The sequence below is a fragment of the Homo sapiens genome, chromosome 14 (genome assembly GCF_000001405.40).
Source record: "Homo sapiens chromosome 14, GRCh38.p14 Primary Assembly".
In the NCBI taxonomy this organism is placed as follows: Eukaryota; Metazoa; Chordata; class Mammalia; order Primates; family Hominidae; genus Homo; species Homo sapiens.
Genome location: NC_000014.9, coordinates 52,450,453 through 52,466,145, shown reverse-complemented (window position 1 = coordinate 52,466,145; position 15,693 = coordinate 52,450,453). Strand labels below are relative to the sequence as shown.

General features: G+C 36.1%; 1 protein-coding gene across 4 annotated transcripts in view; it reads left to right on the top strand.

The window, feature by feature from the left end:
- The window catches only part of TXNDC16 (thioredoxin domain containing 16), a 121,910-nt gene that overhangs the window by 86,360 nt on the left and 19,857 nt on the right, over nucleotides 1–15,693 (top strand). For 2 of the 4 annotated variants that reach the window (NM_001160047.2, NM_020784.3), the window contains exons 17-18: nucleotides 8,972–9,056; nucleotides 10,684–10,822. In NM_001160047.2, coding sequence (NP_001153519.1) covers nucleotides 8,972–9,056; nucleotides 10,684–10,822 — 224 coding nt within the window. Of the gene's footprint in view, nucleotides 1–2,742; nucleotides 2,867–3,175; nucleotides 3,335–8,971; nucleotides 9,059–10,683; nucleotides 10,823–15,693 lie in introns of those variants that run through there. The other 2 variants (XR_007064037.1, XR_007064038.1) reach the window with 2 other exon arrangements.

Genomic DNA, 15,693 nt, shown 5'->3' with positions numbered 1-15,693 from the left:
TTATTTATTTATTTAATTATTTATTGCATCATACGTAATAAAATGTTGGAAATTTTTGAAAGAAAATCCTTCATTCACTTTTCCAACATTTTATTATGAACTTTTTCAAGCACACAGCAAAGTTCAAAGAATTGTACAGTGAACACCCATATACTCACCACCTAGATTCTACCATTAACATTTTATATTTGCTTTAGTATATACCTGTATATCTTTCTACTTATTAATTCATCTTATTTTTGATGCAATTCAAATTAATGTTTTTGCATTCAACTTTGATATGCTTATAACAATTATTTTTACTTTGATAGTTTTACATGGCAGCATAAACTACAGTATTTTTTAAATATCACACCTTCTCTTTACTTAGACCGTTACTCTTTATTTATCTCTTGCTTCACAGGAATGTGTCTTTCAATAAGTTTTTAAGGAAGGGTACACATAGGGTGTTTTTTCTGACCGATAGTATTTCTGGGAATGTTATTTGTTGCTTTTGCATCTAGGTGGCCTCTTGAGTCGGTAACAAAACCCTCAATTTTTTTTTTTTTTTTTTTGAGATGGAGTCTTGCTCTGTCGCCCAGGCTGGAGTGCAGTGGCGCGATCTCGGCTCACTGCAAGCTCGGCCTCCCAGGTTCACGCCATTCTCCTGCCTCAGTCTCCCGAGTAGTTGGGACTACAGGCGCCCGCCACCAAGCCCGGCTGACTCTTTGTATTTTTAGTAGAGACGGGGTTTCACCGTGTTAGCCAGGATGGTCTCGATCTCCTCACCTCGTGATCCACCCGCCTCGGCCTCCCAAAGTGCTGGCATTGCAGGCGTGAGCCACTGCGCCTGGCCAATGTTTACTTCATTATACTAACTCTTACCATTTATCTAGGAAACTTCCCTCCTCCTTGTTTTTCTTTTCTTGAGTTGGATTTCAAATTCTGAATGAAAGAGTTTAAGAATATTTGTCTGAGAAGAGGACCCCACTGGTCTAGCATTATGTTTGCACATAGTAGATACTATTAACTACATATTAAATTTTGCTTTCTACAAATTTACATCTAGCAATTTTTTTCTACTTTGTTTTCAGAATTGTAAAAAGTAAAAACGAAAGGAACTTACAAAAAATAAATAATAAGAATATTAATATGTGCCCTGTGGCTTATCATCTTTGAAGGCAAAATCCTAGAGAGCATATCTTTATATTTTTTATTTTTTTTGAGACAGAGTCTTGCTCTGTCACCCAGGCTCAGTGACATGCAGTGGCATGATGTTGGCTCACTGCAACCTCCACCTCCCAGGTTCATGCAGTTTTCATGCCTCAGCCTCCCAAGTACTGAGACCACAGACATGTGCCATGCAGCAGCACGCCCAGCTAATTTTTTGTCTTTTTAGTAGAGACAGGGTTTCACTGTGTTGGCCAGGCTGGTCTCAAACTCCTGGCCTGTAGTGATCTGCCCACCTGAGCCTCCCAAAGTGCTGAGATTATAGGCGTGAGCCACCGCACCTGGCCTTATAGAGAGCATAACCTTCTAATGAAAAAAAAAATTTTTATGAAAAATTGGGAAGTAAGTCTGTGTTTTACTCCTCCACCTTCCTTCCCTTTTGAATGTTTTTGCTCCAACGGTTGACAGTGTCCTCTCTGTACCTCAGGTGCCTGGTGCCCTAACCTTCTCATTTATTATTCACACTAGGCCTCCTTCCAAGAAGAATTTAAGTCTTCAGATCATAAAAAGCACAAATAGGATAAAATCATTGAAAACAGTGTAAAAACTCAGCAATAAAACAGTAGGGGGTAATTATGTAGAAAGTCTAGAAAACACTGTCGTTTGTCATAAAACTTAGCCCTAAGCAATCTGGTAGCAACTAGAAACAAAAAGATGAAATTTTTGCCGTCTATCGTCATATGTAATAAATCACAACACACAAGTTAGGATGCTGATTAATCCACAGAGAAAACTTTTTCCTAATTCAAATATTGAAAAGAATTTTTCATATTATTTTTTACATTGGGAATCAACATAAGAAATGGTGTACTTGATCATATTTTTACACAAATGATGATAAAATGTACATACAGTCATCTCGCAATACAAGTCAAAAACGTAATGTTAAATTATTTAAAGGTAGTTCTGGTGTGCCAGAATGATGTAGCCTGGATATGATAACTTCATTATTTGACTGGATTGATTGTTCCCAACATTGTCAGTTAGATATTCGTTCCTTTTTATTTCTTTTAGTTTGTTTTTGTTTTTTTGCAAACACTGATATATTAGTAGCTGGACTATCAACATCTATTGAAGAGAGAATAAATAATGATAAAAATCTTATGAATTTATTAACATTTCTATATAAATTTGTGTTTTGTTAATAAAAGCTAACTCGTGTTAAATTTAGCCTAAAGCTGCCTCCGTATATATTTTAAGTTCAGACTAAAGGTTTCTCTATAAGTAGTGAACTGTAACCTAACTAAATGTATAAACAGACTATAACCAACTCTTATACCACTCACCAAGTTTTGGTCAATCAAAGGTGGCCAACTGTTCAAATCCTGTTCAAATAAGACAAATGCCAAGCTGTAACCAATCCAGCTATTTCTTCACCTCACTTCCTCTTACTGTCTGTAAATCCTTTCTGACTTCATGGTAGCACTGAGGTTGCCATGAACCTATTCTGGTTTGGGGGGGCTGCCCAGCCGCAAATGGTTCTTTGATCGGTTAAACTCTATTAAATTTAGTTCAAAGTTTTTCTTTTAACAGATGGTGTCAGAAATAGGACCTATAGTAGAACTTCCAGCGACCCCCGGAAGCATAGAGTGACCAAATGGTGTACCCGCTGGGCCCATTGTGTCCATTGCTCTCTCGCAGCCACTGGGGATCGTGGGTAAGTTCTCTTTCAGACTTTGAAGCTCCACGGCTTTGTGTTCTGAGCTATCTGAGTTTGTTTGAGCAGATTTTTTTTTTTTTTTATCTGAACTGGGTTTGGAAGTTGTTACAGAAACTGGACTGGGTCCAGGATCAAATTAGGTCTGATAATTAACTGACTTAGATCTAGTTAAAGGCCTCAGATGTCTGAATCAGACAGAAACTGACAGTAAATGGCAATATTGTAGGTAGTATGAACTTCAGCTTTCAGAAATTTGCAGGGACTTTTGTGTTCTATCCCCTTTGTTTCTTTTTCTTGCACTCATAGGTAGGAAAAAAGTCAATGACTAAGTTGTGAGGAAATCTGAGAGCCAAAGCCAAGATTCAACATAAAAATGAGATCCTTAATTTCTGAAGAACTGAGTACTCCACTTTCTGGCTACAACTACCTACAAACACTTACAAAAATGGCAAAATGTTACTAAAGGTAATTTAAAGTTGCAGTAGAACATTTCAAATGAAAAATGCTACACTTTAGAAGTACATTTAAAAATGAGGACTCTCTAATTAGGCTTATTCAGGGATGCCTATTGGTGTGCAGAAGCTTCTGAAAAGATTTCAGTATTTTTATTGCCTGTTTTAAAAGACCCTTTATAACAGGTAGCCAGGGCCAGGAACAGTGGCTTATATTTCCACATGCCTATAATCCCAGCATTTTGGGAGGCCGAGGCAGGCAGATCACTTGAGGTCAGGAGTTTTTAACACCAGCCAGGCTGGGCAACATGGTGAAACCCTGTCTCTACTAAAAATACAAAAATTAGCCAGGCATGGTGGCATGTGCCTGTAATTCCAGCTATTTGGGAGGCTGAGGCATAAGAATTGCTTCAACCCAGGAGGCGGAGATTGCAATGAGCCAAGATTGTGCCACTGCACTCAGTCTGGATGATGGAGTGAGAGTCTGTCTAATCCCAGCTACTCAGGAAGCTGAGGTGGGGGGAATGTTTGAGGCTAAGAGTTCAAGACCAGCCTAGGCTACACAGGAAGACTGTGTCTCTAAAAAAAAATATAAACAAAAATATAAAGAACTTGCTGACTATAGGTTTAAAAAAATAAAAGAGAAACCATTTAAAAGCCAGCAAATGAAAATTTTGTATAAAAGCCATAAAATCTGCTTCTGTCTGGATGTCTCTATGTCTATATGTGTTATGTATGTGTGATATTTGGTAAATCTAGTTTCAAAGTTGTTAACAAAGTAAAATAAAAATGGCTTCAAGAGTGTAACTTAAATATAATTCAGATATTTTTGCCTGGATCTACTGGTCAGACAGGTTTATGCTGTCTTTACATGTTTTAAGGTCATAAAACTGCTAATTTTCTATAATATTTTTGGCACTTGCTTGATTTGTCTGTGGGCTAAAGCTGGCTGTTGAGCTTCCCTAGAGCTTTGCACACATCTTACTATAAGCTGGTCTTTGGTTTTGAGCTTCAAGATTCTGGGGTCTGGACAGGTGGCCATGGTAAGGCCTGGAGGCATGTCGTCAATGCTTAGGCCACCTGCTGCAGGGCCCCTTGTTCCTCCTTGCTTGGCCCAGATTTGCCTCATGGCCATGCTGGGAGTGGTCAGATCCACCAGACATCCTCTTCACAGCTCTGTCTTCTGTCCTGACATCTGGTATGTAAATTTAGGACCCAAAAGAGCCCTGCCTTTTATAGGCATCAGGTGCCACATGGGTACTCAGGACTAAGGACAACTGAGAAAGACATTAAGGAGGGTACCTGTGTCATAATTTATTTTCCAATAATTAAAAATCTTTAAGTCATGTTAAATAATAATAAAATGTCTGAGTCATTCCTAAATAAGTTAAAATACTAAAATTAATTATCAAACATATGTTTGTTTATGTACTTTGACATCTTATTTTTACATGATATAAAAAAGCTAAATATATTTAGATTTGTTAATAAAATTAAAATATCTAAAAATTATAAATGATTTTCATCTACAAATATTGATATAAAACAGTTCAAAATTAATTTCTAGGTTTTTACTAGAAATTTGGGTTACTAAGAGTCAAAATTATAGCTAACATAATATAATTAAAACTACTAAATGTAAGAGAATTCTAAATAAAGAGTCTATTAAAAAAGCAAGATATATTTTTGGTGAGGAAAGTTATAAAGGCATAAAAATGTGAGAAAAAAAGAAGTTATTTAAAGATTGTTTCAAATTAAAAGAACTAAAAGATATAGATAAAACTAAATAAATTGTAGAAAGTTAGAAAACTTCAAAATTGTTATGAGATTACAAAGTTTATTTTAAAATCTTGTGTGATTAAAAGCTGACTGAAATGAGATTTGTATATAAGTTTTTATTAAAATCAGCTTTAGAATTGATAATACACTAATAAAAGAATACAAATTTAGTTTTCTCTTTTGCACATAAATTTCATGTAATACTAATAAGACACAATAAAACACTTTCATTCACGTTTTGAATAAACTCTCAAAAAAGGGAGAAAGAAGAGACATATTCTATAGACATATTCTGAGTCCTTTTTTAATCAACAAATAAAGGTCTTTGCTTTTTAAAACCTCTTAATTATCACTTTGGCTAAATAAATGATTTATTTTACAGTGACCTGTGATCTATTTTGATAAGTGTTTTAAACTTTTGACATATTTAATAGGCTTCCCAAAATCAAGTTCAAAATTAAGTCTTTTTGACCTCAAAGTAACTTTCAAATGTTACAGAGGGCCCCTGCAACATCCAAAAGAGAGATAATGAACAGGTTAATTTATTATGGAAAATTACATGAAAAACATTGTCAGAAGATAATGTTCAACCTTCTTTGACTTTCATACGATTTTTGAAATACTTTTTTTCTAGTTCTGTGAAAAATATCATTGGTAGTTTGATAGGAATAGCATTGAATCTATAGATTGCTTTGGGCAGTATGGCCATTTTAATGATATTGTTTTTTCCCATTCATGAGCTTGGGATGTTTTTCTATTTGTTTGTGTTTTCTCTGATTTCTTTGAACAGTGTTTTATAATTCTCCTTGCAGAGATCTAATTTTTGCATTTTTAGTAGAGATGGGGTTTAGCCGTGTTACCCAGGCTGGTCTCAAACTCCTGAGCTCACGTTATCCTCCCACCTCGGCCTCCCAAAGTGCTGAGATTACAGGAGTGAGCCACTGTGCCCAGCCTGGATGCTCTTTTTTTCTTTCTCTTGCCTGATTTCTCCAGCTAGGACTTCCAAGACTGCATTGGGTAAGAGTGGTGAAAGAGGGTGTCCTTGTCTTGTGCCAGTTTTCAAGGGGATTACTTCCAACGTTTGCCCATTCAGTATGATGTTGACTGTGGGTTTGTCATAGATGGCTCTTATTGAGGTGTGTTTCTTCAGTACCTAGTATATTGAGAGTTTTTAACATGAAGGGGTATTTTATTGAAGGCCTTTTCTACATCTACTGAGATAATCATGTGATTTTTGTCTTTAGTTCTGTTTATGAGATAAATCACATTTATTGATTTGCATATGTTGAACTAACCTTGCATCCCAGGGATGAAGCCTACTTGATTGTGGTAGATTAGCTTTTTGATGTGCTACTGGATTTAGTTTGCATACTTTGTTGAGGATTTTCAATGTTGATCAGGAATACTGGCCTGAAATTTTCTTCTTTTGTTGTGTCTCTGCCAGGTTATGGTATCAGGATGATGCTGGCTTCATAGAATGAGCTGGGGAGGAGTCCCGCCTCCTTAATTTTTGGGAATAGTTTCAATAGGAATGGTATCAGCTCTTCTTTGTATGTCTGGTAGAATTTGGCTGTGAATCCATCAGGTCCTGGGCTTTTTTTGGTTGGTAGGCTATTTATTACTGATTCAAGTTCAGAACTTGTTACTGGTCTGTTCAGGGAATCAATTTCTTCCTGGTTCAGTCTTGGTAGTGTGTATGTGTCCAGGAGTTTATCCATCTCTTTCAGGTTTTCTAGTTTGTATAATATAGGGGTTAGGAGTGCTTTTAGTTACTGGGGTTTTCTTGCTTCTCAGCTCTCCCTGCTGACAGAGCTAAAAAACAGATGTATGTATGTGTGTGTGTCTATAAAAATAATTATTCAATAAGATGTGATAGTAGAAAAAATAATATTGCTAAATAAATATGTTTATTTTATGCAATTAAAATATATTTATAGTAGCTGAAAAGCTTTTTGTGCATATTTTTATTCAGATAATTGAGTACTTTCTTGTATTTGAGGTTGCCATATATTTTGGCATATATACAGTTTTTACCAAGGAGGAGAATATGCCTGGTTTTGAATGTTCAGAGGAAAATATGTATTCTAGTTTAGTGGAAATGGATATGCATCTGAGATCTACAGTCATATATTTTCCCATCCTGTGAGTCACTTAGGATTTACAAACACATGGATTTACGAAGAGACTTTTTAAGAGACATATTCATAAGTAGAGAGTCTTTTGTATGAGGAAATTATATGGAAATAATGGTGTACTTTTCTATTGCTACTTACCTAAAATGAAAAGAAGCTGAAACAGATTCTGTTATGTCATTGCTTTAGATATAGTTTATCCATTGACTGGAATTTCACTCTGTTCACTCTTAGAAATGAAAGTACAGACACACAGTCCTTTCTAGTTTATAATCTCATGTGTCTTTTCTACTTTGATGTAGCATGGGCTAAAAAAATATTTTAATAAATTTTCTCTCTGTCTCTCGTCTCTCTTTTTATTTTTTTTGAGACAGAGTCTCGCTCTGTGGCCCAGGCTGGCATGATCTCAGCTCAGTGCAATCTCCTTCTCCCAAATTCAAGCGATTCTCATGCCTCAGCCTCCTGAGTAGCTGGGACTACAGGCACATGCCACCATGCCCAGCTAATTTTTGTATTTTAGTAGAGATGGGGTTTCACCATGTTGGCCAGGCTAATCTCAAACTCCTGTCCTCAAGTGATCCACCCACCTCGCCTCCCAAAGTGCTGGGATTACAGGCGTGAGCTACCGCACCTGGCCAGTTGTCTCATTAAATCTGTGATTGTAAATGAGCTCCCCATGCTGCCTACTGAGCTACTCTAGTAAGTTTGCTTTCCTACAGACAGTATTGCTCAATCTTAGGGAAAGTATGTACCCTTTTTAAAGAAAATAATCTTGTGGTTACCCAATGTTGACAATGTTGAATGCTTACATCATGAATGTAGTGCTGACTGCTGAGGTACAGATCTTTGGGTTCAGCATGCCTAGCCTAGTAGGTACTATGTGACTCATTCTTCCATGAGTGTTTTTCTGTTTGACTGCTGTGAATCTTTCATGTATGAATTGAATTATCATTTGGCCTTCACTTGGCAAGAATTTGACCTATAAGTCCACCTCTGTGCTTTTCTCATTAGTCTACAATGATTTAATTCAGACTTGCTTCTTGGTTATAGGATAGTCATTATTAACAAGATCCACAGTATGCTATTATTAATGAAAATGTATTCAGAAATTTGTAGAAATAGCTTGTATTTTGAATATGTGTATCCTAACAAATGAGAAAAGACAATACAAATTAATCAAAGTTCAAAACTAATGAAAACACATTAGAGAAAATGTAGGAATTGTTTTTTAAAAGACACAGAATCCCTTCTACTTGCACAACCCTAACACAGACACTGTTAGAGGGCTAGAATTTTCAGTCTGCTATTTTTTATGCATATAGATACTTTCAGATTTTATGGTTATAATGTGCATATCATTTCACATACCTACTTCTCTTTTCAGGCTACACATAAGACAGCTGTCTCCATTTACTCTGCCATAGGAGTAAATTAAAAGGCAAAAAGTATTTATTCAGTAATTATGATTAGAGTGCTATAAAGCTTATGAATTACATTTAGAGTACATTTGTTTTGGAAGCCATGTTGCATTATATCAATTGACATTTCTTTAGTAATCCCATGTCATAAAGAGAATACAGATTTATTTTGGAACCACTAAATTATATAAGACATCTGCACTTAAATATTTTTGTAATTAATTAATAATGAAATACTACCACCTATAAATCTCTTCATCAGTTGAATAGCATACATAATTATAAAGGTTTCAGATTTTTGTCTTCTCTATGTATTTATAGCAAAAGAAGATTTTAGTGAAGCAGGAAACTACCTAAAAGGATATGTTATCACTGGAATTTATTCTGAAGAAGATGTTTTGCTACTGTAAGTTTATTGCTCTTTTAATTTTAGGGAGGGAGAAATTATGCAAAATAATGTTATCTAATAATTGCTTATATTTACACAGCTGATGGAGGAAAATAAGGTAGCAATCTAAAGAAATTTTTTTTATTTCCTTCTAGGAAATAAAGTACCTGGGAAATACTTTAGATTCTTTAGCTATTCTTTTATTTTAGACCAAAGACCCCATGGGGCAGTCTTGGATTCGTACTTCACCATCCTCCTATAAAAATTTTCCTCTTTGGGTTCTATTACCTACAATGTGGTTCTTTGGAGTTATCATAGTTTGGGATAAATTTTTCTTTTTGAGCATCTGAGGTTTTATTTACCCCCTGGGTGGGTGAGTGGGTACGTGTGTGTATAAAAATCAGTGCTTTTTTAGCTTCTTAAATTACCTTATCTGTAGAAGGTGGGACTTCTATGGACTACCAAAATATTTTAGTTGCTATAGAATGAAGGACTGAACTGCAAATTTGGAGATTATTATTAATACATATCACATTCTCTATGGCCCATTTTCAGGTATAGGTGTACTTACTAAGCCCCAGTAGTTTGTCTTTCTTAGCTTCTGACTATAAATTCCTAATTGTGATTTCTAAGCTTAAATCTTTCATCTTGAACACTGGTGACATATGCTCTTGGTGATCAGGCTTTTGTTCTATTTGTGAAATCACTGATTTTCATAAAGTATATATTAAAGAAGGAAATATGAGGACTGTCCATCTGACAATGGGTAATCACCCATGATCTTCTACTCTGCTGTCATTGTGCGTCTAGCTGTGGTCCAAAGAGCTAGACCAGTAGTTTTCAGAGTGTGTTTTGTTTATAACCAACTGGTCAACTAAGAGGTTCCTTTAAGTGACCTGAAAACTGGCCTCTCAACTAATGCTTATGTTGTTATAATGTCTATACTTTGTTCTGGCATGAATTAAGTTATTATACATGACTACTTCACTAGTAATTTTACACAAAGCTTTCTTCTATTTAGATAATTTTCTTTTAGGTTTAGTTAGCGAAAGGGATTGTGGGAGGGTGGATTTGGGCTCTTGTTTCAGTGGAGAGAGTACAGACTATGTCAGGAACAGACTGTGTCAGGGACACCTCATTTGAAGTCTGTGTCTGCCATTTATCACTCTCTCAGTCCTATTTCTTAATCTGCAAAATGAGGTCATAATGGCCACTTTCATTCTGAAAGTTAAATAAAAACATAATTGAAATACCTAGTATAGTGCCTGGCAGATAGTAGGTTTCTCATAAATGCCCATTTTCTTACTCAGCATTGTGGTGAGCAAGTCCAGAAAGGTCGAGAACCATTCACTGTGTTCCAAATCTGATTTATTTTCTTGTTGAGTAAGTTGTATAGAAAAAAATATGGCTAGATTACTGCCTTGTTGCTTTTTAAAAATCTAGTTTGTTATAGATCATTACCTGTTTCTTTCTTTTAATGTAGGTTGTCATAGAAGATAAGTTTGCCTGGAAATGGAGTTCATTTTTTTCCTTAGCAGTAGGAATTCCCATTTGCTGCCTCACACTGTGACCTCCTAGCCTAGATTTTCATGTTTTTGACATGCTAGATTTTGATCGTGAATTTTAATACTGCCTTTCTCCATAGGTCAACCAAATATGCTGCAAGTCTTCCAGCCCTGCTGCTTGCCAGACACACAGAAGGCAAAATAGAGAGCATCCCACTAGCTAGCACACATGCACAAGACATAGTTCAAATAATAACAGATGCACTACTGGAAATGTTTGTGAGTATGTTTTATAATAAGGGTGATACTTGAAATAAAATCTAGATCAGTCAAAGGTAGTATATGTTCATACACATTTTTCCATTTTTTGCTGGTACAGGGCAGGGTGATTTGTGAGCTGAGGATTTACTGGATTGTTCTGTTTTATTGTTCAGTCATTATGCATACAGCATTTTGAGTCCACTGCTAAAAGTTTACATCTTGCTGAGACTAGTGTGGCCGAAGTTCAGTTCACGTGCTTAATCCAGGGTGAAACTTGTTATAAAGCATGTCCATTCTGGAAGGTCAGCCTGCCCAGCTTCAAATCATTGGTTGATTTCTTACTGACATAGGTTAACTTCTCTGTTCTTCGGTTTCTGCATGCATAAAATGTAGCTCATAGTAGCATCTGCTGCAGACAGTTATTGTGAGGACTGAATGAGACATGATTTGATAGTGCTTTGTGTATATTATTTAGTCCATGGTAAGCATCCAACAAATGTTAGTTACTATTCTTATTACTTATATGGGTTTTTTTGTTTTGTTTTTGAGATGGGTCTCACTCTGTTGCTGTGATCTCAGCTCTCTGCAACCTCCGCCTCCCGGGTTCAAGCAATTCTCCTGCCTCAGCCTCCCAAGTAGCTGGGATTACAGGCGCTCACTACTACACCTGGCTTTTTTTTTTTTTTTTTTTTGTATTTTTAGTAGACACAAGGTTTCACCATGTTGGCCAGGCTGGTCTCGAACTCCTGACCTCAAGTGATCCGCCTGCCTCGGCCTCCCAAAGTACTGGGATTACAGGCATAAGCCACCGTGCCCAGCCTGGTTTAAAAAAAGTTTTTAATTTCTAATTTTTCTGGGTACATAGTAGATGAATATATTTATGGGTTACATGAGCTTTTGTTTTTTTTTTTTTTTTAGACAGAGTTTCACTTCCGTCACCCAGGCTGTAGTGCAATGATGTGATCTCGGCTCACTGCAACCTCCGCCTGCCGGTCTCAAGTGATTCTCTTGCTTCAGCTTCCCAAGTAGCCAGGACTACAGGCATGTGCCACCACATCGGATAATTTTGGTATTTTTTTGTAGAGACAGGGTTTCACCATGTTGCCCAGGCTGGTCTCGAACTCCTGAGCTCAAGTGATCCTCCTGCCTTGGCCTCCCAAAGTGCTGAGATTACAGCATGAGCCACTGCACCTGGCCACATGAGGTATTTTGATACAAACATGCAATGCATAGTAGTCACATCAGAGTAAATAGGGTATCCATTACCTCAAGTGTTTACCCTTTGTGTTTCAAACAATCCAATTTACTCATTTAGTTATTTTTAAATGAACAATTAAATTATTTTTTACTATATCACCCTGTTATACTGGCAAATACTAGGTCTTCTTTATTCTTTCAAACTAGTTTTTGTACCCATTAACCATCCCTACTTCCCCCCTCCCCACCATTTCCAGTTAAAAAGGCTTTTTTTATCCAAAAGATAGGCAGTAGCAAATGCTGGTGAGGATGTGGAGAAAAGAGACCTCTTGTACACTCTTGGTGGGAATGTAAATTAGTACAACCAGAGGCTGTACTGGGTTTTGTATATGGTGAAAGATAGCAGTCTAGTTTCATTCAGCATATGGATATCCAGTTTTTTCAATAGTCCTCTTCCACTACCCTTCCCAGCTTCTGGTAACCATCCTTTTCTCTATCTCCATGAGTTCAATTGTTTTAAGTTTTAGCTCCCACAGATAAGTGAGAACATGTGCTTTTTGTCTTTCTGTGCCTGGCTTATCTAATTTAACATCATGACCTCCAGTTCCATTCATGTTGTTAAAAATGACAGAATCTCATTCTTTTTTTTATGACGGAATAGTATTTCATTGTGTGTATGTACCATATTTTCTTTATTCATTCATCTGTTGATGGACCCTGAGGTTGCTTCCAAATCTTGGCTGTTATGAATAGTGCTACAATAAATCTGCGAGTGCAGATATCTCTTTGGTATACTGATATTCTTTTGGGAATGTACTCAGGAGTCACATTGCTGAATGGTAAGATATGTCTATTTTTAGTTTTTTGAGGAGCCTCCAAACTGTTCTCCATAGTGGTTGCACTAATTTACATTCCCACTGAGAGTATACGAGGGGTCCCTTTTCTCCACATCCTCACCAGCATTTGTTATTGCCTTTTGGATAAAAGCCATTTTAACTGGAATGGAATAATACCTAATTGTAGTTTTGATTTGCATTTCTCTGATGATCAATGATGTTGAGCACCTTTTCATGTACCTGTTTGCTGTTTGTATGTATTTTTTTGAGAAATGTCTATTCAGATCTTTTGCCCATTTTTTAAATCAGATTTTTTCCTACTGATACAGAGTTGTATCAGTTCTTTATATATTCTGGTTATTAATCCCTTGTCAGATGGGTAGTTTGCAGATATTTTCTCCCATTCTGTGGGCTCTCTCTCCACTTTGTTGATTGTGTCCTTTGCTGTGCAGGACCATTTTGTCTTGATGTGATCCCATTTGTCATTTTTGCTGTGGTTGCCTGTGCCTGTGGGATAATATTGCTCAAGAAGTCTTTGCCCAGTCTAGTGTCCTGTAGAGTTTCCCCAGTGTTTTCTTGTAGTAGTTTCATAGTTTAAGGTCTTAGATTTACGTCTGGAATCCATTTTGAATTGATTTTTGTATATGATGAGAGATAGGGGCCTAGTTTCATTCTGCCTATGGATATCCAATTTTCCCAGCACCATTTATTGAAGAAATTATTCTTTCCCCAATGTATGTTCTTGGAACCTTTGTCGAAAACGAATTCACTGTAGATGTACAGATTTATTTCTGCATTCTGTATTCTGTTCCATTGGTCTATGTGCCTGTTTTTATGCCAGTACCATGTCACTTTGGTTACTATAGCTCTATAGTATAATTTGATGTCAGGTAATGTGATTCCTCCAGTTTTGTTCTTTTTTTGCTTAGGAATAGCTTTGGCTATTCTGGGTCTTTTGTGAATCCATATAAATGTTAGAATTATTTTTTCTATTTCTGTGAAGAATATCATTGGTATTTTGATAGGGCTTGCATTAAATCTGTAGTTATTTTGGGTATTAAGAACATTTTAACAACAGTGATTCTTCCAGTCCATCAACATGGGACATCTTTCTATTTTTGTGTGTTCAGTTCAGTTTCTTACATCAATGTATTATAGTTTTCATCGTAGAGATCTTTCACTTCTTTAGTTAATTCCTGGGTATTTAATTTTACTTGTGGCTATTGTAAATAGGATTACTTTCTTGATTTCTTTTTCAGATTGTTCACTGTTGGCATATAAAAATGCTGCTGATTTTTGTATTTTGATTTGTCTTGCAACTTTACTGAATTTGTTTATCAGCTTGAATAGTTTTTCGATGGAGTCTTTAGTTTTTCCAAATATAGGATTATATCATCTGCAAACAAAGATAAGTTGACTTCTTCCCTTCCAATTTGGATGCCTATTATTTCTTTGTCTTGTTTGATTGCCCTAGCTAGGACTTCCAGTACTATGTTGAATAATAGTCATGACAGTGGGTATCCTTGTCACGTTCCAGATCTTAGAGAAAAGACTTTTTCCCCATTCAGAATGACACTAGCTGTGGCTATGGCATATATGGCTTTGTTATGTTGAGGTATATTCCTTCTGTACCCAGTTTTTTGAGGGTTTTTTTAATGAAGGGATGTTGAGTTTTATCAAATGCTATTCAGCATCAGTTGAAATGATCATATGGTTTTTGTCCTTTATTGTGTTGATATAATGTATCACATTGATTGATTTGTGTATGTTGAACCATCCTCGCATCCTTGGGGTAAATCATACATGGACATGATCAATGATCTTTTTAATGTATTGTTGAATTGGTTTGCTAATATTTTGTTGAGGATTTTTGCATCAATTGATATTCATCAATGATATTGGCCTGTTGTTTTCTTGATATGCCTTTGTCTGGTTTTTATACCAGGGTAATACTGGCTTTGTAGAATGAGTTTGGAATTACTCCTTTCTCCTCTATTTTCCAGGATAGTTTGAGTAGGATTAGTATTCATGTTTTTTTTTTTTTTAAATTTCAATAGGTTATTGGGGAACAAGTGGGATTTGGTTACATGGGTAAGTTCTTTAGTGGTGATTTCTGCACCCATCACCTGAGCATTATGCACTGTACCCAATGTATAGTCTTTTATCCCATCACCCTCCTTTTACCCTTCCCCTCAAGCCCCCAATGCCCATTATTTCATTCTTATGCTTTTGTGTCCTCATAGCTTAGCTTACACTTAGAAACATATGATGTTTGATTTTCCATTCTTGAGTTACTTTACTTAGAATAATGGTCTCCAGCTCCATCCAGGTTGCTTTGAATGCCATTATTTCTTTCCTTTTATGGCTGAGTAGTATTCCACAATGTGTGTGTATGTATACATATATATATGTATGTGTGTGTGTGTGTATATATATATATATATATATATATATAAAACACATTTTCTTATCCACTTGTTGATTCATGGGCGTTTGGGCTGGTTCTGTATTTTTGCAATTGCAAATTGTGCTACTATAAACGTGTGTGCACCAGTAGTGAGATTGCTTGATCAAATGGTAGATACACTTTTAGTTCTTTAAGGAATCTCCAACTGTTTTCCATAGTGGTTGTACTAGTTTACATTCCCACCAGCAGTGTAAAAGTGTTCCCTTTTCACCACATCCATGCCAACATCTGTTATTTTTTTAAATTATGGCCATTCTTGCAGGAGTAAGGTGGAATTGCATTGCGGTTTTGATTTGTATTTCCCTGATAATTGGTATTAGTTCTTTAAATGTTTAGTATAATTCAGCAGTGAAGCCATTGGGTCCCGAGCTTTGGCTTTTTTTTTTTTT